Below are 23353 nucleotides of genomic sequence, written 5' to 3'. Positions count from 1 at the left end.
ATATGTCTTGATGCTACAGTGCAGGATGTATATGTATTTACCATTGTTATAGCCTCTTGTAGAATGGATGCCTACACCATTATATTAATCTAATGACCTTGTTTTTCTCTTTTGATGTTTTTTTTTTTTGACATAAAACCTATTTTGTCCAATATAACTATAACTGCCTCTGTATGCTTTTGGTTTGCATTTAAATGAAATATGTATTTCCATCCCTTCACTTTATTCTGTGTCTTTACAGGTGAAGTTACTTTCTTGTAGGCTGCATATAATTGAGTTTTGTTTTTTAATCTGTTCAGCCAGTCTATATCTTATTGAGGAATTTAAACCAATTACATTAACAGTTGTTAATGAAAAGTGAGGAATTGCTCCTATAATTTTGTTATTTCTTTTCTGGTTGTTTTGTATATCATTTGTTCTTCTCTTTCTTTTTTGTTATCATTACAACTTGGTGCCTTTTTTTATTTTTGTAGTGGTAACATTTGGCACCTTTTGTTCCTCATTTGTGTATCTGCTTCATTAGTGACTGTTATACCTGTGTATGTTTTCATGATGGTAGACACTGACCTTTCACTTCTAGATGTAGAACTCCCTTAAGCATGTGAATGAGAGTCATGAAGGATTCCCTCAGTTATTGGCTGTCTGTGAAAGACTATTTCTCCTTCATTTTTGAAGGATAACTTTGCTGGCTATAGTACTCTTGACTGACAGGTTTTTTTTTTCCCATCAGCACTTTGAATATATCATTCCATTCTCTCCTGGCCTCTAAGGCAGGGGTCCCCAACCCCCAGGCTGCAGACCGGTACCAATCTCTGGCCTGTTAGCCACTGGGCCACACAGCAGGAGGCGAGTGGTAGGCAAGCGAGCATTACTGCCTGAGCTCTGCCTCCTGTGAGATCAGCAGTGGCATTAGACTCTCATAGGAACGCAAACCCTATTGTGAACTGTGCATGCAAGGGATGTAGGTTGCATGCTCCTTATGAGAACCTGTCTAATGCCTGATGATCTAAGGTGAAACAGTTTCATCCCAAAACCATCCTCCCCACACCCTGGTCTGTGGAAAAACTGTCTTCCATGAAACCATTTCCTCATGCCATTTCCTCATTTCCTCATGAGACCGCTGCTCTGTTTCCCTTGACAAATTCACTGTTAGTCTGATGAGGATTCCTTTATATGTGACTTGATGCTTTTCCTTGCTGGATTTTTAATTCTTTGCCTTTGCCTTTTGATAGTTTATAACATGCCTTGGGAAAAACCATTTTGGGTTGAATCTATTTGGGGAACTTAGGGCTTCCTAAATCTGGATGTCTAAATCTCTTGTAAGACTTGGGACATTTTCAGCTACTATTTCATTAAATAAGTTTTCTATACTTTTGCCCATCTCTTCTATTTCTAGAACTCCTAAAATTAGAATACTTGGTCCCATTATGTGGCCCTATACATCACATAGGCTTTCTTAACTTGTTTCTATTCTTTCTTTTTTGTCTGACTGGGTTATTCCAATGACAGTTTTCAAGTTCAGAAATTCTTTCTTCTGCTTAATCTAGTTTATTGCTGAAGCTCTCAATTGTATTTTTAATGTTATTCATTGGATTCTTCAGTTCCAGGAACTCTACTTGGTTCTTTTTTATGATACTGATCTCTTTGTTGAATTTCTCACTCATATCATCAGTTGTTTTCCTGATTTCTTTGTATGTTTGTCTGTATTATTTTGTATCTCATTGAGTACCTTTAGTATCATTATTTTGAGTTCCCTTTTTGGCATTTCATAATTTCCTTTCCTTGGTATCTGTTCCAGAAGAATTACTGTGCTCATTTGAAGATGTTATGTTACCTTGCTTTTTCACATTTCTTGTGTCCTTATATTGATATCTGTGCATCCAGTGTAACAGTCATTTCTTCCAATTTTATGGGTTCACTTTTATAAGAAAAGGGTTTTTTCTATAAATATATTTATAGTGTTGGCTGAGTAGGGTGCTTTGGCTTTGATTCTGGGTGAGTGCAGTAGTGTAGTCTTCATGATTTTTAGCTGTAAGTGTCAGCAGTATCTGATAGCTCCTCAGTGGCTTAGGCTGTGGTTGTCTGTGTAAGCTGTGGCAAGGGATTAGTGTTGGTGGTGGCTGGATGAGTGTGCCAGTCTCAGTCTCCCCATTGATTTATTCAGGCACTGAGAGTGGCAGGTCTAAGCAGGCCATACCTCGAGCATCCAAGTGGCTTGTTCTAGTGCTGACAGTGGCAACAGTTATTTGGGCAGGCAGACAGGTCCTTGGGCCCCTAAGAAGCATGTCTGGCACTGGCAGTGGTAGGCCAATCCTCAGGCCCCTAAGTGTTGTGTCCAATAGCCACTGGTGTCAGTGATGGGCTGAGCAGGCCAGTCCTTGGGATTCTGGGATATGTGCACATTTGCCAGTGGTGAGCAGGAATGGTCTGTCCTTATGCCACTGGATGACATTTGTGAGTGACAGTAGTGGTGGGTATAGTAGACCAATCTCCAGAACCCTGGAGATTGTGTGCAGGTGGCAGTAGGCAAAGAGAGCCCTATCCTCAGGTGCCCACAAGGTGTGCATGGGCATCAGTCGTGGCAGGTGGGGTGGCTCTATCTCCAAGTCTCCCAGATTGTGTGCACAAGTGCCATCAGCTGCAAGCAGAATAAGACTGCAGGACTCACAGTGGTACATGTGGGCACTGGCTTCAATTAGTGGGGTGGGTCAATACACAGGCTGACAAATGGTATGCTAGAGTGCCTCTGGCAACGGTGGTAGATGGGGTGGGTCTGTTCTTAGGACCCTGGGTGTGAGTGCAGGCACCAGTGGCAGCAGGTAGGGTGGACCTCTCATTAGGCCTTCCTATGGTGCACTTGGCTGTAGGCAGCAGGGAGCAGGGTGAATTAATCCCCGGGCCCCTAAAGAATGCACGTGTGCCAGCAGCAGTGGGCTGGGTGGGCATGTCCTCAGATCTCCCAATGGTGCATGTTGGCAACAGCTGTGACAGGTGGGTGGGTCAGCCCCCAGGCTACCGGATGGCATGCCTGGGCACTGCTGGTAGTGGGTAGAATGGGCCTAGCCTAAGGTTTCAGATGGCATACGAGTTGGCCAGTCCCCAGGCTCCCTGAAGGCATGTGCTGTTCTGTGGTCCTGCTGTTGGAGGAAGCAAGGTTGCCATCAGTGGCAGCATCCCTCAATAGGCAGCTCTCAGGCTATGGGGAGCGCATGCTTTGGCTCCCTTTGTCCTGGGGCCAGCTTCCTTGGTGTGCTGAACTGCCTGTTCCCTAGGGTGTAGGACAATATGTGGACAACAGTGCTGGATATCTGGCTTCACTACTGGGTCCAGCCAGCATCATGACAATTTAGCCCTCTAGAAAGATGTGGAGGGATGTCAGCAGGGCTCCAGAGATGTGAAGATGCAGGGGTTGTTGGGACCTAAGGCAGAATATAGTTTGATGGAGGCTGATCTCCTAAAATGGCAGGGAGGTGCAGCTGCTTGAGTCTCAGTGGGTACATGGGACCCAGTATCAACTCTCTTGATGGAACAATGCTGTTGCATGGGCTCCAAGTAGCTGCCTATACTAGTCTTAAGGCCCATAAGAACTGAAGAGCTCTCCTATAGCTAGAATTGCAGGAGTCCACGGTGGGAATGTGGACCAATAGAAATCACTTGCTAACTCTTTCCCTATAATGAAGGCAGAACTTAAAGAACATGGTGGTGATTTACTTCACTTTTTTTCCCAATGAGGAGTTCTTCCTGGTGTGAGCTGATCCTGGCCAGACTGGTTGCTTTGCTTCTCTCTCCTTCTGTGCCTCAGAGGTTCCCTGTGACTTCCCTGTTGAATTCCAGTGCTTCTCTCCAAGAAGCTCTATTTGACACTTAGTTATTTATTTACTGTTTTGATCCTTCTTTGTAGAGGAAGTGAGTTCTGGGTGACTCTAGGTATTCATTTTGAACTATTCTTTTGTGTTTTGTTTTCCCTGATTAGTTGCAGAAGGTTTTATATACTTATTATTTGGATTTACCTTTCTGAGAGTTGCCTATTTAAGGTAGTTTATCTTATTGATTCAAGAGAACGTCTATATTCTGGATGTATTACTTCGTATTCATCATCTTCTGATGATTTCTTATTATACCTTCAATTGAGGCTATTTCAAGTTTATCAGCATCCTCCTCCCCGATGTTCTCCTCATTGCCATCTTTCTTAGGAGATGACTTCCTTTCATACTTAACTGAGAAAGATTGAGATTTAAAAAATTAGTGCTCCAGTCAAAGAGATGGACATGCTCTAAGGTCTAGGGGCATCTGGGCATGTATGACCTAAATTTAAATAATTATGACAAAAATATAAGACTATACACTTGCTTCCAAAAAAATGTCCTAAATGCCTCTGAGAAGACCATATACCTTTCAAAATCATACATTATAAGGATTTCAAGAAACTCTGGCAAGTGCTTCCAAGTCTGACAGTCATTGGTAAGCCAAGAATTCTCACACAGCAGTCCTTAATTATTTCATCTAATGTGAGGTTGAAAGAAGTAAAGACAATGAATTTAATGTCTATTTGATTCCACTTGCTATGGAAATGATGTTGTCTCCACTAACACCAGGAACAGTTAGAGATAAGTCAGGGGAGAATACTATAGAGCCTTGAGAAGCCTTTGTAGAATTATTAAACAAAAATGCCCACTAATTTTAGAAAATACAATCAAGAATGGTTACGAGAATGATCCATTTACTTTGTACCTTGCAGGCTCTTTGGCTTTAACACTAGAACTCCCTAAATAAAATTTAATTTCAAGCAAATTTTATTTATTTGGATATTTAAATTATCTTAGTATTAAAAATACTGTTTTTAAAATATTAAACTTAAGTGAGGCATTAAGAATTTGGGACTAAAATAAATGAGATAATGAGAAAGTGAAAACTTTTTTTATAATTAACAGTTCATTTTGAGTTAATTATAGACAATTACCAAAATCTAATTGCAATTTATTTCCTATTGTCTGTGGGAAGAATCCCAGGCAAGGGAATTTACATTGCTGCCTTCCTGCATAAATGCTAAAGAATGAAAATAAATAATAAGTGAGGCCTTAATGACAAATAAGAGCAAATGGTAGGGCACAGCTGAGCCAAACCATTGGAAGATAATTATCACATGAAAGATGGTAATGATTTCAAAAGTCATAAGTTGTTTCTAAGTCCTCCGGTTTCTTTTTTAGTTAGTTTGTTTGATGCTAATTTATTGCTTACACAAAGATGACCCTTAAAAATGAACAGTTTTGTAATTTTGCATACTCCAATAAGATGTGACCATTTTTGTACTTTTATATAATACTGAGCAATTCAACAAAAATTTTTATTGTTAAGAAAAGAAAAACTACCTTGCTAAGTGCTTTGGATGATATAAAAAGCCACTACCAGGCAGGGCTCAGTGATTCACGCCTGTAATCCCAGCACTCTGGGAGGCCAAGGCAGGTGCATCACCTGAGGTCAGGAGTTCAAGACCAGCCTGACCAACACGGTGAAACACTATCTCTACTAAAAATACAAAAATTAGCCGGGCATGGCGGCGTGCACCTGTAGTCCCAGCTACTCGGGAGGCCAAAACAGGAGAATTGCTTGAACCCGGAAGGTGGAGGTTGCAATGAGCCGAGATTGTGACACTGCACTCCAGCCCGGGTGACAGAATGAGACTTCATCTAAAAAAAAAAAAAAAAAAAAAAGCCACTACCTTCAAGTACCCTAATAGTAGAATAACGCAAATGTACAAATATTTATCATCTATACATAATATAAGGACTATAAAAGAAATGCAAAGAAAATATTTCTGGAAGAGATACTATTTGAGATAAGTCACAAAAGACAGTATAGAATTTTGATAGGCTAGAGATAGGGACCTATCCTCCCTACCTCAAACACACACATACACACATATACACGTCCCCTCCCCCACCACACCCTCCTAGGAAATTATTAATAGAACATGGATACCTTTGGGGCAGAATTACTCTACTTACTATAGCTCTGATAAATAACCATTATGTACTGTTAAATGAGAAAAAAGTGTTCAATTTGATTTCAAATATATACACATGTTGTATATATTTGTAAGCATAAAGAAAGGTTTAGAAGGATACATATTAGAGTGCTAACTCTAATTCAACCAAGACAGTCAGGACAGACAACAGAATAAAAAATGAAAAATGACTGATACTTTCTTAATATGTCTTTGATGTTTTACTTTTTATAAGAGATATGTTGACATTAAAAATTTTTTAAAGTTCCATTAAAAATTTTTAAGGTGGTTTATGAAACAAAATTTATAATATAAAAATACATACTCATGAATAAATAAGAAATAGTAATACATACAAAGATTACCTCCAGATGATGAGATTATAGGTATATTTTATTTTCTTCTTTAGTATTATCAGAATTTTATATTTCTTTCTACCATAAGCAAGTAAGAAAGTGAATCAGTAAAGATACAGATAAACATGAATAGTATTAAAAATAAAAAAATTAAATTAAAAAATACGTATGAACTAAAGAAGAACTATAATGTCCCTATATAAAAAATATGAACATAGGAAGTGAAAATTCCACAAAGAAACACAAAGCATTAATAAACATAGAAAAGTGCTCATTCTAATTGAATACAGAGTGACTGCAAATTACAAGATTCCATCTTTCTGCCTACTAAATTGCCAAATATGGTTTAAATATACAAATAAGTATTGGAGAGCTAATTTACATGACTGATTGAATACGTATCTCTATTCTCTTCTAAAACCACTGAAAATTAATATTAAAAGAACAAAAAAGTTATAAAACCTATGAAGCTGCAAAGTGAAGACAGCACAACAGAGAAGAGATGTTATAGAATTTTAGAAGGCTGGAAAGCAGGTGTCTCAGTTGAAACTCAACTAGCCAAGCAGAAAAGTCAAAACTGAAATATCTGCTAGCTGGGGTTGAAAAGATGCTGTAAGCTGAAACATGTCAGAGAACTCCTCAAAGGCTCAGAGACTGGAGGAAGCAGGTAGAAATGCAGATGGTAGTGAAAGCACAGCTGATTTAAAGTCTCTATAGCAGTGAAAAGCCAACGTGTCCTCCTCTATCTGTCCCCATTGTATGAAGATGACTGGAGGTTTATCCCCCAGGAGAGGCTGAAAAAGAATGACCCTGAACTTGGGGCCTGAAATACATTGAGGGCAGAAATCCATATAGTTAAGAGGGAGATTAAATGAAAGCCTATGTAACAAGTGATGAGCCCATTTTTTTTTACTCCCCCTGGCTCCCCACATTGGCATGAAAGTTAAATAATGCTTCTATCCCTTATTCTCACACCTGCAAGAGATTTATCCCTAGGGAAACTGATCATCCCAAGAGAAGAAAATCTATGGATAGTAGCAAGTAAGAGTCCCCAGCGTGCCTACCTGATCATGGTGAAGTCCATTAGCTGACAAGCTCTGTTCATAATATACTGAGAGCTTTTCACAGATTTTTATTGTTTTGCTTCACAATATAGGTGGATCATCAGACATTTGTGGAAAAAGGCAATCTGAACTTGGTGAAAATAGACACAATTCAGCAGGAAGAGATAAAACTTCAAAAATTATTACGAATATTCTCAGAGATAAGACAAAAACATTGCATATGTAAAATGAGAATGAGTTCTTATTTTAAAAAATGGCCTTTCTAAGAATAAGATGTTTTCAGAAATTAAGAATTCTAACACTGGGTGCAGTAGCTCATGCCTATAATCCCAGCTCTTTGGGAAGCTGAGGCGGGTAGATTACTTGAGCCCAGGAGTTTGAGACAAGCCTGGGTAACATGGCAAAACCCCGTCTCTAAAAAAAATACAAAAAATTGGTTGGGTATAGTGGCATGCACCTGCAGTCCTAGCTACCTGGGAGGCTGAGTGGGGAGGATCACTGAGCCCAGGAGATCAAGAATGCAATGAGCTGTGATTGTGCCGCTGAACTTGAGCCTGGGCAACAGAGTAAAACCCTGTCTCAAACAAAGAAACAAACAAAAAAACCTGATATGAAATATAGGAGAGAAAAATAAGAAAATCAGAGTTTATTCTAACAGAGTCAACATCTCAGTAAGATGAGTTCTCAAAAGAGACAATACATTAGCAAAGGAAATTTCTCCAAATTGAAGAAAGTTTGCCAGTTAAAAGATTCTGCATGAATGGAAAAAGGTGTAACTTATGCATATCAGCATACATTTTTAGAATTTTAGAGAAAGATAAGTCCTAATAGTTGTGATGGGGAATAGGTCACATAAAAAGATCAAGAATCAGACTGCAACACACTTCTTAATGGCAATACTAGAAACTAGAAGGTAATAGAATACAACCTTCAATCCTTTCTGAGGAAAACTACTAAGTCAGAATGCTATATAAAGCTAAACTATAAATTAAACATGAAGATTGACTAAAGACATTTTTCAGAGGTGTGACACAAAAAGATTACTGCCTCTGCACTCCTACAGTAAGCTACTGCAGCGCATGTTTTAGTAAGATGAAAGGGTATAAACCAAAAAGAGGATAGCATGTGATCCAGGAAAAAAGGAATATAAGATAAAAAAGAGAAAATTTCCAGGATGATAGGTAAGGAAATTTCAGATGAAATCACTAGACAAAATGCCTAGAGAATAATAAAGTTCATACTAGAGCAGGATTTTATGGAAGTCTCCAGGAGGGATATCTTGTAAATTGTAATTGGTAAACACTGTATATATTTATTGTATACAAAGTGATGTTTTGATATACTGTATGTATTCATTGCAAAATGATTAAATCAAGCTGGTTAACAAATCCATCACCTTACATATTTATATATTTTTGTGGTGAGAACACTTAGCATCTACCCTCTTAGTAATATTCAACTATATGACATGTTATTATAGCCATAGTTACCATGTTATACAACAGACCTCCAGAACTTATTCAAGCTCACTGAAACTTTGCAGTCTTTGAGCAAAGACCAGGCCCCCAACCCCCCAGGCCCTGGTGACCATTGATTCAACCTTTTTGGATTCTACATATAAGAGAGATCACACTGTATTTGTCTTTCTGTGCTGAATAAGGCATTTTTAAACTCCAGAGAAAATAATTATACAAAATTAAATTTAAGAATAGTAGATAGTTCAGCTGTGCATAAAATATTTACAATCTTATAAATATTTTGATATAGATATATTGAGAGGACAGAAGGAAGGAAACAGCACGTGTGGGGCTATGTTATATATGTAGAGAGAAATATGGAGAGAGGGAGGAGAGGGAAAAAGGGAGAAAGAAAGGTAAAGAGAGGAAGATAAAAGGGAGAAAAGGAGGGAGCAAATAGATGGTTATCAGTGAGAGCTAAATCATCAATTTCCATAGCAGAAAGTCAATACTTAATGACTACATAAGTCTGTTATTCAGAAATATGGATATAAATACTAGAAGGAACAGATAAAAGAGGAAACATCTAAAACAGTCAAAACTGCTTGTAGGAAGAGGGACGTCAGCAAGATGGCAGAATAGGACTTTCAAGGACTCGTCCCTGCCCCTCCCATCTCCCCCATCAGAAACATCAATTTGAATAACTATCCACCTAAAAAAATACCTTTTTAAGAGCTATGTAAACCAGGTGAGAGATTATAGCACCAGGCTGTAGCACAAAAATAAGAAGGAATGTATTCAAAAGGGTAGGAAGAACAGACTTACATTACTGGCAGCACCCTTTCCACAAACTCTGGCAACACAGTAGAGAGAGATACCCTCTGTTTGGGCAGGGAAGAGAGGGAAGTGAGAACCAGACTTTGCCTCAGACGCTAACATCAGGCCCACCTCAGTAAAAGCTAGCGTTGGGCAGCCCATCCCGGTCCCAGACTCCAGGCCAATACTACATAATGAGCATTCAGACCTGCCTCAGCACCAGGTGAGATCCTGCTATTCCAAATTCCAGGCCTGCCTCAGATTCCAGACCAGCCCAGAGCCAGGTCAGTCCACAAAGCCCGAGTTTACCCCCGCCCCAGTCTAGATTGGCATCCCTGACCTCAGGCACCAGACCTGCCCCATGCTAGGTCAGTCTTTATAGTCTCAACCTGAGGCAGACCTAGGCCTGACCGCATAGAATCCAGTGCTGGGCTGGCTCCACAGACCCAGGATCCAGGACCCAGGTTCAAGGCCTACCCTTTAGCTCCAGGATCCAGATTGATTGTTGCAGACCTAGCCGCTAGGCCAGCAATCACACAAAACAGTTTGGCAATGTGAATCAAGGATCGTAAAAAGATTCATATATACTTTGTACTAGTAATTCCACTTACAGGAATCTGTAACAAGGAAATAGGTAGAGATAAACTTAAAACATTTATTTAGAGAAATGTTCTTCAAGGCAAAATTTATAATAGCAAAACCCTGTATTATCCGATAACAGACTAATAGATAAATATTGAGCACAGCTGCCAAGCAATACGTATTTGTTGAATGAATTAATGTTTTCACAGAGTATTTAATAAGATCAGAAAATATGATACAGTGAAAAAAGTAACATAAAATTCTGTATAAGCATAATCCTTAATACTCAATATAGACTATAATACCGCACCAAAAAAAAAAAAAAAACAAAAAACAAAAAAGAAATAGTAGAAAAGGGCTCAAAAGATTCTCTCAAAGTTGTAGGATTATGAATGATTTTTATTTTGTTTTTCATATTTTTCTATATTTTTCAAAATTGTATAACAGGAATGTACGTATTCATATGGTCACAAAACTGTATTAATCAACATAGAGCTATAAAAGTATACCAAACGTATCCTAAATATTTATGCCCTTAAGATTCTTGTTTTAACTGAGACTTCAGGTTTACCTTGGTCCAGAGTCACTGCCATTCATATCCAGTTTGAGTTCTTGGGGTTTAGTAAGCTGTTTTTCAGCAACCAGTTCTCTCGACTTAAACAGAGCCTGAGCTTTTAACCTGTAAAAATTAATTTAAAAAATTTCTAATCTTGTGAAGCCTGATAACCTGAATGATAAATTTTGGAAAACCATGCTCTTTCAGCTAGATCCCCAGAAATTATTTTCCAATTAAAACTTAGTCAAAAATAAATGAGTAATTCTTAAATATACATAAACAAACACAAATTGATTTCATAGTAACTTAAATTTTCTTTAAAGGAAAGGTAGGGAAGATTAAGTTGGTTAGAATATCATTTAAAAATTCAAAATTATAGATACTTCAATAGGAGCACTTTAAATCTCTGCCGCAGAAAGTTAATTCTTCCCTCTATTCATTGTAAGCAAGTGTACTGCGATCACCAGTGTCTCAATGTGAATTCTAGTAACTCTAATTATCACTGACCCTGACCAACATTTATATGGGAAGCACCCACTTCTCATACTGACATTTCAAAGAATTAGGGGTACAGCTCACTAACCAACATATTTTCCCTGAGTCAAAGATGAATTCTTCCAAAAGAACTGGAAGACACTGTATCCATCAATGCTTACTTAGCCCTACACTGACATGTACTGAGGAGGGAAAGCCATGGAAAAACTCAGCCAAAAGGTTTTCTACCGGGAGTTGAGTGTTAATCACTGGTATCAAATATGTGACACTTATTCTCTCGGCTTTTAAGAAATGTTCTCTGGTTATCTGTAAAAGTATATTCTTTAACTATGAAATCAAACTCTGAAGTGTAAAAACATTATTAAAACAATATTGTCATTTTCATCATTGTCAAAAGACATGCCTATAATTCCAACTAACTGGTTGGAATTAATGTACAAAGTACATGGATTAATTCCCTTCAGGAGCTTACAGCTTAAGACTAATATTTGGTGGTGACACATAGGTAGGTAAATGTAGATGCAAAATGCCCAAATCAGGGAATTATGAGAAAAGTGAAAAAATGGCAGCAATAATATCAGTCACAGTAGCCTCTACAGCAGTAGTGATGATCTTGATGACAGCAACTACCTTCAAGGAGTACATTTTATATATACTATTGTACTGATCCTCACAACCACTCTATAATGTAGTTACTTTTACCATTACCTATTTATAAATTACTAAAGTGAGGGCTGGGCCAGGCACATAACTCTCTCAAGGTGACACGTTTTTCACTGGTGAACACTGAATTTTATTACAGTTAGGTAGAGAGTACATGTATTAAGGCATATTGTTAGAGTGGGAGACAAAGGTAAATATTTATCATTAGCCTTGATTTTTATTCATTATACATACACTACTTTGCTCCAAAAATGATTTAAGGTGGTTCTTGGCACAATCATGAATAATATTCTGGATAAATCTTCTCTGATCAGTCTGGAAAGTGACTCACAAAAATAATACCCTTTCGAAAGTTGTTATCGGCAATCATGTAGTAACAAGGTGGCAGAATGAATCATTAATTACAATTTAAGTAAATGCCAATGTCATGCCAAATTTATTCTAAAATGACAAGCTCGTCCCAAGATTCTGAACTACTATAACAATTCTGTGCTACTCATTTGGTATTCAATTAGATTGCCTTCCCAATATTTTTCCTGAACATCCTGAGCACTATAAACAACAGCTTGTGTATAGCAGATATTAATTCATGAATTTAGTTGAAGTGAAATTCCCTGGGGCCGGGCGGGGTGGCTCACGCCTGTAATCCCAGCACTTTGGGAGACCGAGGCGGGCAGATCACCTGAGGTAAGGAGTTTGAGACCAGCCTGGCCAACATGGTGAAATCCCATTTCTACTAAAAATACAAAAATTAGCTGTGCGTGGTGGCAGGTGCCTGTAATCCCAGCTACTTGGGAGGCTGAGGCAGGAGAATCGCTTGAACCCAGGAGACAGAGGTTGCAGTGAGCCAAGATCACACCACTGCACTTCAGCCTGGGTGACAGAGTGAGATGCTGTATCCAAAAAAAAAAAAAAAAAAAAAATCCTTGGGGCAGGTAAATGACAAGCTTAGTAAAGATATATAAAAGTTAAAAGTATATATATATAAAAAGCGTGAGATTATGTGTAATATACCAAGCCAAGATCAAGTCTTGCTCATTTTAATACTCCTCACATAGAGTTTTGTGCAGAGTAGAGGGCTTAGTAAATATGTGCTCAGACAAGGAGAATGAAACTAAATTACAGAACAACATTACACATTAAACAATAAGGTGCTGATTTTGGACATATTCAATAACAAATTATTAGTTATGTGAAAAAGAAACCAGACCCAGAAATTTTTAGTGGGATTTTGACCGTGTTATAATGAAGAGTCGGGGTGTGGATAAATGGAAAAGTAGGACAGAGATATTTAAATCGGAGGAAAAGGTATGGCTTGAGAAAGAAACATGAAGGATGCACTGAAAAGATCTCAAGGAAACAAATCTGCCTTTTGGGAAAAAAACTTTATTTCTTAGGAAAAGTGGGACAAATGGGTAGAGAAGTGGTTCCAAATTATAAAAGGCTTCAAATACTAGGTTGAATAAACATAACCTAATACAAAATTATCATGGGTTTTTAAAATTCAGAAGTGGCACAATAAAAGCAATGTCTTAGGAGGATTCATTTGAGATAGATATTCTTGTTATATGATATTAATGTGCAGAAGGTTGAGTTTCAGATGACCCAAAGTGATAAAATTACATAAACCTAAAAAGCAGGCCAAAGAGTAGGGCAACTTTCAGCCTAGAAATATAAATTGTGATACTGATTAATTAAATGGATAGATTTATGGTCCTAGTTCTGGGTTTCACCAGCTAACTATGATAAAACATGGTGGCAGTAGGCAGGATAACTAGAGGTGAAAGCTGTTCAATTAAAAATGTCCTGGCGGGGCACGGTGGCTCATGCCTGTAATCCCGGCACTTTGGGAGGTCAAGGAGGGTGGATCACTTGAGATCAGGAGTTTGAGACCAGCCTGGCCAACATGGTGAAACCCTGTCTCTACTAAAAATACAAAAATTAGCCTGGTGTGGTGGTGCGTGCCTGCAATCCCAGCTACTCGGGGAGGCTGAGGCAGGAGAATTGCTTGAACCTGGGAGCCAGAGGTTGCAGTGAGTCGAGATCACGCCACTGCACTCCAGCTTGGGTGACAGAGCCAAACTCCGTCAATCAATCAATCAACCAATCAATCAATGTATGTCTTGAGTCTCTGTTTCTCCGGGCATCTCACTTGGATTTGGATTTTTTTTTTTTACTGTCTTGATTGGAAAGAACTTTGTTTTAGGATGAGAGCAACATAAGGATACATGAAATGGCAGAACTACGACTGGGATGAACAAAGGCACCAGAAACCAGCATGATTAGTTCTTTTTTTCTTTTTTTTTTTTTCAGACAGAGTCTCGCTCTGTCACCCAGGCTGGAGTGAAGTGGCGCGATCTCGGCTCACTGCACTGCAACCTCCGTCTCCCAGGTTCAAGCAATTCTCCTGCCTCAGCCTCCCGAGTAGCTGGGATTACAGGTGCCTGCCACCATGCCCGGCTAATTTTTGTATTTTTAGTAGAGATGGGGTATCACCGTGTTAGCCAGGATGGTGTCGACCTCATGACCTCGTGATCCACCCGCCTCGGCCTCCCAAAGTGCTGGGATTATAGGCGTGAGCCACCGCGCCCGGCCCAGCATGACTAGTTCTAAAGGTGGCCAGTGTTACAGCTGGGTACTGTCTGATGGTTTGGATATATTTCCTTCACAAAGGCTAACCAAGAAGACTGAAAATGACCCAAAGTAAATAAAGTAAAACATTAGGGCTCCTAAAGCCAGAAAGCAAATAACTCTTCCCAAGGATAATTCCCATCTAACCCAAAGGTTGCATTGTAGTCAAATGCCAACCACTTTCAAGTAAAGGAACTCAACACACAAGATGAGAACATGGTCAGCTTAAACTGACAATTGGCATAAAGAGATCTGGGTTCTGGAAAGATCTCAAACTATTTTATGTGAGTAGTTTTCCAGATGGTATACATTTTTAGAAGTTAAAAAAAGTAACAAATTTCAAAGGTAATGACAGAAAACAGGCATTCTCTGCCTACCACCAGAGTATACTGTGAACCTTCCTGGTCATCTTGCTTTCTTAAGTACTTTTGTTCAATCCACAAAAATCTAACGTTTGAATAAAAATAATAAAATATAACTTGATAAAATTTAATTGACATAGTTACTGCATAAATGAAATTGGAAGAAAATTAGAAATCATTAGACTTATTGAACTGTTTTTTTTTTTTTTTTTGAGACAGCCTTGCTCTGTCACCGAGGCTAGAGTGCAGTGGCCCAATCTCAGCTCACTGCAACCTCCACCTCCCGCACTCAAGCGATTCCCGTGCCTAAGCATCCTGAGTAGCTAGGATTACAGGCGCCCACCACCATGCCTGGCTAATTTTTGTATTTTAGTAGAGACAGGGTTTCACCATGTTGGCCAGGCTGGTCTCAAACTCCTGATCCCAGGTGATCCACCACCTCGGCCTCCCAAAGTGCTGGAATTACAGGCATGAGCCACCACACCTGGCCTGAACTTTTACATATGTATTTGCTTTCCATTATTTAATAAAAATCTCTAGGGACTTACAGTTCTGAGACATGATGAAATAGCTGCACTTCTTTTTTTTATTTTTATTTTTATTTTATTTTATTATTATTATACTTTAAGTTTTAGGGTACATGTGCACAATGTGCAGGTTAGTTACATATGTATACATGTGCCATGCTGGTGTGCTGCACCCATTAACTCGTCATTTAGCATTAGGTATATCTCCTAAAGCTATCCCTCCCCTCTCCCCCCACCCCACAACAGGCCCCGCTGTGTGATGTTCCCCTTCCTGTGTCCATGTGTTCTCATTGTTCAATTCCCACCTAAGAGTGAGAACATGCAGTGTTTGGTTTTCTGTCCTTGCGATAGTTTGCTGAGAATGATGGTTTCCAGCTTCATCCATGTCCCTACAAAGGACATGAACTCATCATTTTTTATGGCTGCATAGTATTCCATGGTGTATATGTGCCACATTTTCTTAATCCAGTCTATCATTGTTGGACATTTGGGTTGGTTCCAAGTCTTTGCTATTTTGAATAGTGCCGCAATAAACATACGTGTGCATGTGTCTTTATAGCAGAATGATTTATAGTCCTTTGGGTATATACCCAGTAATGGGATTGCTGGGTCAAATGGTATTTCTAGTTCTAGATCTCTGAGGAATCGCCACACTGACCTCCACAATGGTTGAACTAGTTTACAGTCCCACCAACAGTGTAAAAGTGTTCCTATTTCTCCACATCCTCTCCAGCACCTGTTGTTTCCTGACTTTTTAATGATTGCCATTCTAACTGGTGTGAGATGGTATCTCATTGTGGTTTTGATTTGCATCTCTCTGATGGCCAGTGATGGTGAGCATTTTTTCATGTGTTTTTTGGCTGCATAAATGTCTTCTTTTGAGAAGTGTCTGTTCATGTCCTTTGCCCACTTTTTGATGGGGTTGTTTGTTTTTTTCTTGTAAATTTGTTTGAGTTCATTGTAGATTCTGGATATTAGCCCTTTGTCAGATGAGTAGGTTGTGAAAATTTTCTCCCATTTTGTAGGTTGCCTGTTCACTCTGATGGTAGTTTCTTTTGCTGTGCAGAAGCTCTTTAGTTTAATTAGATCCCATTTGTCAATTTTGGCTTTTGTTGCCATTGCTTTTGGTGTTTTCGACATGAAGTCCTTGCCCATGCCTATGTCCTGAATGGTATTGCCTAGGTTTTCTTCTAGGGTTTTTATGGTTTTAGGTCTAACGTTTAAGTCTTTAATCCATCTTGAATTAATTTTTGTATAAGGTGTAAGGAAGGGATCCAGCTTCAGCTTTCTACATATGGCTAGCCAGTTTTCCCAGCACCATTTATTAAATAGGGAATCCTTTCCCCATTGCTTGTTTTTCTCAGATTTGTCAAAGATCAGATAGTTGTAGATATGTGGCGTTATTTCTGAGGGCTCTGTTCTGTTCCATTGATCTATATCTCTGTTTTGGTACCAGTACCATGCTGTTTTGGTTACTGCAGCCTTGTAGTATACTTTGAAGTCAGGTAGCATGATGCCTCCAGCTTTGTTCTTTTGGCTTAGGACTGACTTGGCAATGTGGGCTCTTTTTTGGTTCCATATGAACTTTAAAGTAGTTTTTTCCAATTCTGTGAAGACAGTCATTGGTAGGTTGATGGGAATGGCATTGAATCTATAAATTACCTTGGGCAGTACGGCCATTTTCACAATATTGATTCTTCCTACCCATGAGCATGGAATGTTCTTCCATTTCTTTGTATCCTCTTTTATTTCATTGAGCAGTGGTTTGTAGTTCTCCTTGAAGAGGTCCTTCACATCCCTTGTAAGTTGGATTCCTAGGTATTTTATTCTCTTTGAAGCAATTGTGAATGGGAGTTCACTCATGATTTGGCTCTCTGTCTGTTACTGGTGTATAAGAATGCTTGTGATTTTTGCACATTGATTTTGTATCCTGAGACTTTGCTGAAGTTGCTTATCAGCTTAAGGAGATTTTGGGCTGAGTCGATGAGTTTTCTAAATATACAATCATTTCATCTGCAAACAGGGACAATTTGACTTCCTCTTTTCCAAATTGAATACCCTTTATTTCCTTCTCCTGCCTAATTGCCCTGGCCAGAACTTCCAACACTATGTTGAATAGGAGTGGTGAGAGAGGGCATCCCTGTCTTGTGCCAGTTTTCAGAGGGAATGCTTCCAGTTTTTGCCCATTCAGTATGGTATTGGCTGTGGGTTTGTCATAGATAGCTCTTATTATTTTGAGATACGTCCCATCAATACCTAATTTATTGAGTTTTTAGCATGAAGCCTTGTTGAATTTTGTCAAAGGCCTGTTCTGCATCTATTGAGATAATCGTGCAGTTTTTGTCTTTGGTTCTGTTTACATGCTGGATTACATTTATTGATTTACGTATATTGAACCAGCCTTGCATCCCAGGGATGAAGCCCACTTGATCATGGTGGATAAGCTTTTTGATGTGCTGCTGGATTCGGTTTGCCAGTATTTTATTGAGGATTTTTGCAGCAATGTTCATCAAGGATATTGGTCTAAAATTCTCTTTTTTGGTTGTGTCTCTGCCTGGCTTTGGTATCAGGGTGATGCTGGCCTCATAAAATGAGTTAGGGAGGATTCCTTCTTTTTCTATTGATTGGAATAGTTTCAGAAGGAATGGTACCAGTTCCTCCTTGTATCTCTGGTAGAATTCGGCTGTGAATCCGTCTGGTCCTGGACTCTTTTTGGTTGGTAAGCTATTGATTATTGCCACAATTTCAGATCCTGTTATTGGTCTATTCAGAGATTCAACTTCTTCCTGGTTTAGTCTTGGGAGGGTGTATGTGTCGAGGAATTTATCCATTTCTTCTAGATTTTCTAGTTTATTTGCGTAGAGGTGTTTGTAGTAGTCTCTGAGGGTAGTTTGTATTTCTGTGGGATTGGTGGTGATATCCCCTTGATCATTTTTTATTGCATCTATTTGATTCTTCTCTCTTTTCTTCTTTATTAGTCTTGCTAGCGGTCTATCAATTTTGTTGATCCTTTCAAAAAACCAGCTCCTGGATTCATTAATTTTTTGAAGGGTTTTTTGTGTCTCTATTTCCTTCAATTCTGCTCTGATTTTAGTTATTTCTAGTCTTCTGCTAGCTTTTGAATGTGTTTGCTCTTGCTTTTCTAGTTCTTTTAATTGGGATGTTAGGGTGTCAATTTTGGATCTTTCCTGTTTTCTCTTGTGGGCATTTAGTGCTATAAATTTCCCTCTACACACTGCTTTGAATGTGTCCCAGAGATTCTGGTATGTTGTGTCTTTGTTCTCATTAGTTTCAAAGAACATCTTTATTTCTGCCTTCATTTCGTTATGTACCCAGTAGTCATTCAGGAGCAGGTTGTTCAGTTTCCATGTAGTTGAGTGGTTTTGAGTGAGTTTCTTAATTCTGAGTTCTAGTTTGATTGCACTGTGGTCTGAGAGACAGTTTGTTATAATTTCTGATCTTTTACATTTGCTGAGGAGAGCTTTACTTCCAACTATGTGGTCAATTTTGGAATAGGTGTGGTGTGGTGCTGAAAAAAATGTATATTCTGTTGATTTGGGGTGGAGAGTTCTGTAGATGTCTATTAGGTCCGCTTGGTGCAGAGCTGAGTTCAATTCCTGGGTATCCTTGTTAACTTTCTGTCTCGTTGATCTGTCTAATGTTGACAGTGGGTTGTTAAAGTCTCCCATTATTATTCTGTGGGAGTCTAAGTCTCTTTGTAGGTCACTCAGGACTTGCTTTATGAATCTGGGTGCTCCTGTATTGGGTGCATATATATTTAGGATAGTTAGCTCTTCTTGTTGAATTGATACCTTTACCATTATGTAATGGCCTTATTTGTCTCTTTTGATCTTTGTTGGTTTAAAGTCTGTTTTATCAGAGACTAGGATTGCAACCTCTGCCTTTTTTTGTTCTCCATTTGCTTGGTAGATCTTCCTCCATCCTTTTATTTTGAGCCTATGTGTGTCTCTGCATGTGAGATGGGTTTCCTGAAAACAGCACACTGATGGGTCTTGACTCTTTATCCAATTTGCCAGTCTGTGTCTTTTAATTGGAGCATTTAGTCCATTTACATTTAAAGTTAATATTGTTATGTGTGAATTTGTTCCTGTCATTATGATGTTAGCTGGTTATTTTGCTCGTTAGTTGATGCAGTTTCTTCCTAGCCTTGATGGTCTTTACATTTTGGCATGATTTTGCAGCAGCTGGTACCAGTTGTTCCTTTCCATGTTTAGTGCTTCCTTCAGGAGCTCTTTTAGGGCAAGTCTGGTGGTGAGAAAATCTCTCAGCATTTGCTTGTCTGTAAAGGATTTTATTTCTCCTTCACTTATGAAGCTTAGTTTGGCTGGATATGAAATTCTGGGTTGAAAATTCTTTTCTTTAAGAATGTTGAATATTGGCCCCCACTCTCTTCTGGCTTGTAGAGTTTCTGCCAAGAGATCCGCTGTTAGTCTGATGGGCTTCCCTTTGTGGGTAACCCAACCTTTCTCTCTGGCTGCCCTTAACATTTTTTCCTTCATTTCAACTTTGGTGAATCTGACAATTATGTGTCTTGGAGTTGCTCTTCTCGAGGAGTATCTTTGTGGCGTTCTCTGTATTTCCTGAATCTGAATGTTGGCCTGCCTTGCTAGATTGGGGAAGTTCTCCTGGATAATATCCTGCAGAGTGTTTTCCAACTTGGTTCTTGGAAACTCTAAAAAGCAGAGCACCTCTCCTCCTCCAAAGGAACGCAGCTCCTCACCAGCAACGGAACAAAGCTGGACAGAGAATGACTTTGACGAGTTGAGAGAAGGATTCAGATGATCAAACTACTCTGAGCTACAGGAGGAAATTCAAACCAAAGGCAAAGAAGTTGAAAACTTTGAAAAAAATTTAGATGAATGTATAACTAGAATAACCAATACAGAGACGTGCTTAAAGGAGCTGATGGAGCTGAAAGCCAAGACTCAAGAACTACGTGAACAATGCAGAAGCCTCAGGAGCCGATGCGATCAACTGGAAGAAAGGGTATCAGTGATGGAAGATGAAATGAATGAAATGAAGTGAGAAGGGAAGTTAAGAGAAAAAAGAATAAAAGGAAATGAACAAAGCCTCCAAGAAATATGGGACTGTGTGAAAAGACCAAATCTACGTCTGATTGGTGTACCTGAAAGTGACAGGGAGAAATAGCTGCACTTCTGTCTACCCCTGTACAACTAAAAATCTTAGACATTATACTTGAAACAAACATAAGAATACTGTAAAAGGTGAGAAACAGGGGCAGAAAAACAACAATGTGGTGAGTTTCCCGGGCTTTGTTTTTGCCTTAGAAACCTTGAATGTGGGAGAAGCTGGCAACCTAGAAACTCCAAAGTCATAGAGGAAAAAACAGCCTGCTCTCTCTGTCTAAAGGATCAGGAAAGGAGCAGTCTATATCGACAAAAAACTTTTAGACAATAACTGTCCTACTACAGCCAAACATGGGAAAAACTGTGGTCTCATTTTCCCCATTCCCACCAGCAAAGGTCCAGTGGGAGGCTAGACGTCCATTTTCCAATGGTTCAATGAGACATCTTAAATCTTCACTGGGGTGGTGTTAGAGAACCAAGATCAGTATCTCACACCATAAACTGAAAATGTCCAGAATGCAATAAAAATCACTCATCATGCCACAAATGAAGATAATCTCAACTTGAATAAGAAAAGACAATCAGCAGAAACTAGTGTCAAGATCACATAAACGTTGGTATTATCAGATAAGAATAGTAAAGCATGCATCATAAAAATGCTGCAAAAAGCACTTATGAATACGCTCTTTGAAAGGAAAAGAACAGCAAGTCTCTGAAAATAAAGAGAAGACATAAAGAAGAACTAAGTGGAAATTTTAGCTCTGGAAAATACTTAAGACAACTGAAAAAGACAATAAGTAAAATTTGAAAACTCAATGGACTTGCTCAAAAACAGAATGAAGAGGACAAATGAAAGAACCAGAAATTTGAGAATAGAACAAGAGAAATTGTACAGTCTGAACAACAAAGAGAAATAGACTAAATATACACAAAAAAGCCTAAACAGAATGTCAGAGACATGTGGAACCTTTTAATAATTGCCATTCTGACTGGCGTGAGATGGTATCGCATTGTGGTTTTGATTTGCATTTCTCTAATATGATGTTGAGCTTTTTTTCATATGTTTGTTGGCCACATAAATATCTTCTTTTGAGAAGTGTCTGTTCATATGCTTTGCCCACTTTTTGATGGGGTTGTTTTTCCTCTTGTAAATTTGTTTAAGTCCTTGTAAATTCTGGATATTAGACCTTTTTCAGATGGGTAGATTGCAAAAATTTTCTCCCATTGTGTGGGTTACCTGTTCACTCTGATGACAGTTTCTTTTGCTGTGCAGAAGCTCTTTAGTTTAATTAGATCCCATTTGTCAATTTTGGCTTCTGTTGCAATTGCTTTCAGCATTTTCATCATGAAGTCTTTGCCCATGCCTATATCCTGAATGGTATTGCCTAGGTTTTCTTCTAGGGTTTTTATGGTTTTGGGTTTTACATTAAGTCTTTAGTCCATCTTGAGTTAATTTTTGTATAAGGTGTAAGGAAGAGGTCCAGTTTCAGTTTTCTGCATATGGCTAGCCAGAGATCATGTCCTTTGCAGGGACATGGATGAAGCTGGAAGCCATCATCCTCAGCAAACTAACACAGGAACAGAAAATCAAATACCGCATGTTCTCACTCATAAGTGGGAGTTGAACAATGAGAACACACGGACACAGGGAGGGGAACAACACACACCAGAGCCTGTTGGGGAGTCAGGGGCAAGGGGAAGGAACTTAGGGAATGGGTCAGTATGTGCAGCAAACCACCATGGTACCCGTATACCTATGTAATAAACCTGTACGCTCTGCACAGGTATCCCGGAACTTAAAGTAACATTTAAAAAAATGTGGAGCCATAACAAAAGATTGTAAATTTATGTCATTAGCTAGCCAGAAGAGGGCATGGGGTTCAAAAAGTATTAGAAAAAAATAATTTAGGAAGAAAACTTCCTAAATTTGGCAAAAGACATAAAACTATAAATCAAGCTGATCAAAGTCCTTATAGGATAAAGAAATCCATGTCAAGACATATCACAGTAAAATTTCTTAAAACTAAAGACAAAAAAATCTTTAAAAAGCAAAAGAGAAATTATATTTTATGTATAGAGAAAAATAGTGCAAATGACTGTGGAAAACATCAGTGGAGAGAAGAAAATGCCACATTTGTCAAGTGCTGATAGAAAAAAAAAAAGCAACCCTGTCAACTCAGAATCCTATATTCAGCAATGGTAGTACCCTTTAGAAGTGATGTGAAAATAAGAACATTTTCATATGAAGCAAAACTACAGCAGGCTTACCTTAAAGAATAAACAGAGATCTAAAAACAAAACAACAAAAAGATAAAAGAGGAAATCTTGGAACATCAGAAAGGAAGAACAATAGAAAAAAATAGAAACACAGATAAATATAATAGATTTTTCCTCTCTTCACTTTTCTAAATTATTCTGTAACTTATTTTAAATTTGATGATTTAAGCAAAACTTACAATATTTTATGATGTGTTTCTCAATGAGAGACTCTGTTTAGGCTTTTTTTGGTTTAGTCTATTTCTGTTGTTCAGATTGTAAAATTTCTCTTGTTCTATTCTCAATGAGAAACTCTTTAAGACAATTATAAATGGGGGAGGGTAAGGGAACTTAAAGGGAGATCAAATTTCTACATTTAATTTAAACTGATAAAATATGACACCAGTAGACTTTGATAAGTTATGTGTGTTTAACAGAATACTTAGAGCAACCAATAAAACAAATCTATTCAAAGA

The 23353-nt window shown here is 38.5% G+C and overlaps 1 protein-coding gene across 24 annotated transcripts in view; it reads right to left on the bottom strand.

Moving 5' to 3' along the window:
- KIAA1328 overlaps positions 1 to 23353 on the bottom strand; it is a 403046-nt gene that overhangs the window by 137090 nt on the left and 242603 nt on the right. For 17 of the 24 annotated variants that reach the window (NR_136303.3, NR_136305.2, XM_047437678.1 and 14 more), the window contains one exon: positions 10851 to 10958. The exons of the other annotated variants lie outside the window; for them this stretch is intronic. Coding sequence is in view for 15 of the 17 variants with exons in the window: in XM_047437678.1 (XP_047293634.1) it covers positions 10851 to 10958 (108 nt within the window). In the remaining 2 variants the exon portion in view is untranslated. The remainder of the gene's footprint in view (positions 1 to 10850; positions 10959 to 23353) is intronic. 24 annotated transcript variants of the gene reach the window in all.

Source organism: Homo sapiens, chromosome 18 (genome assembly GCF_000001405.40).
Source record: "Homo sapiens chromosome 18, GRCh38.p14 Primary Assembly".
Lineage (NCBI taxonomy): Eukaryota > Metazoa > Chordata > Mammalia > Primates > Hominidae > Homo > Homo sapiens.
This window is presented reverse-complemented; position numbering and strand designations above follow the sequence as displayed.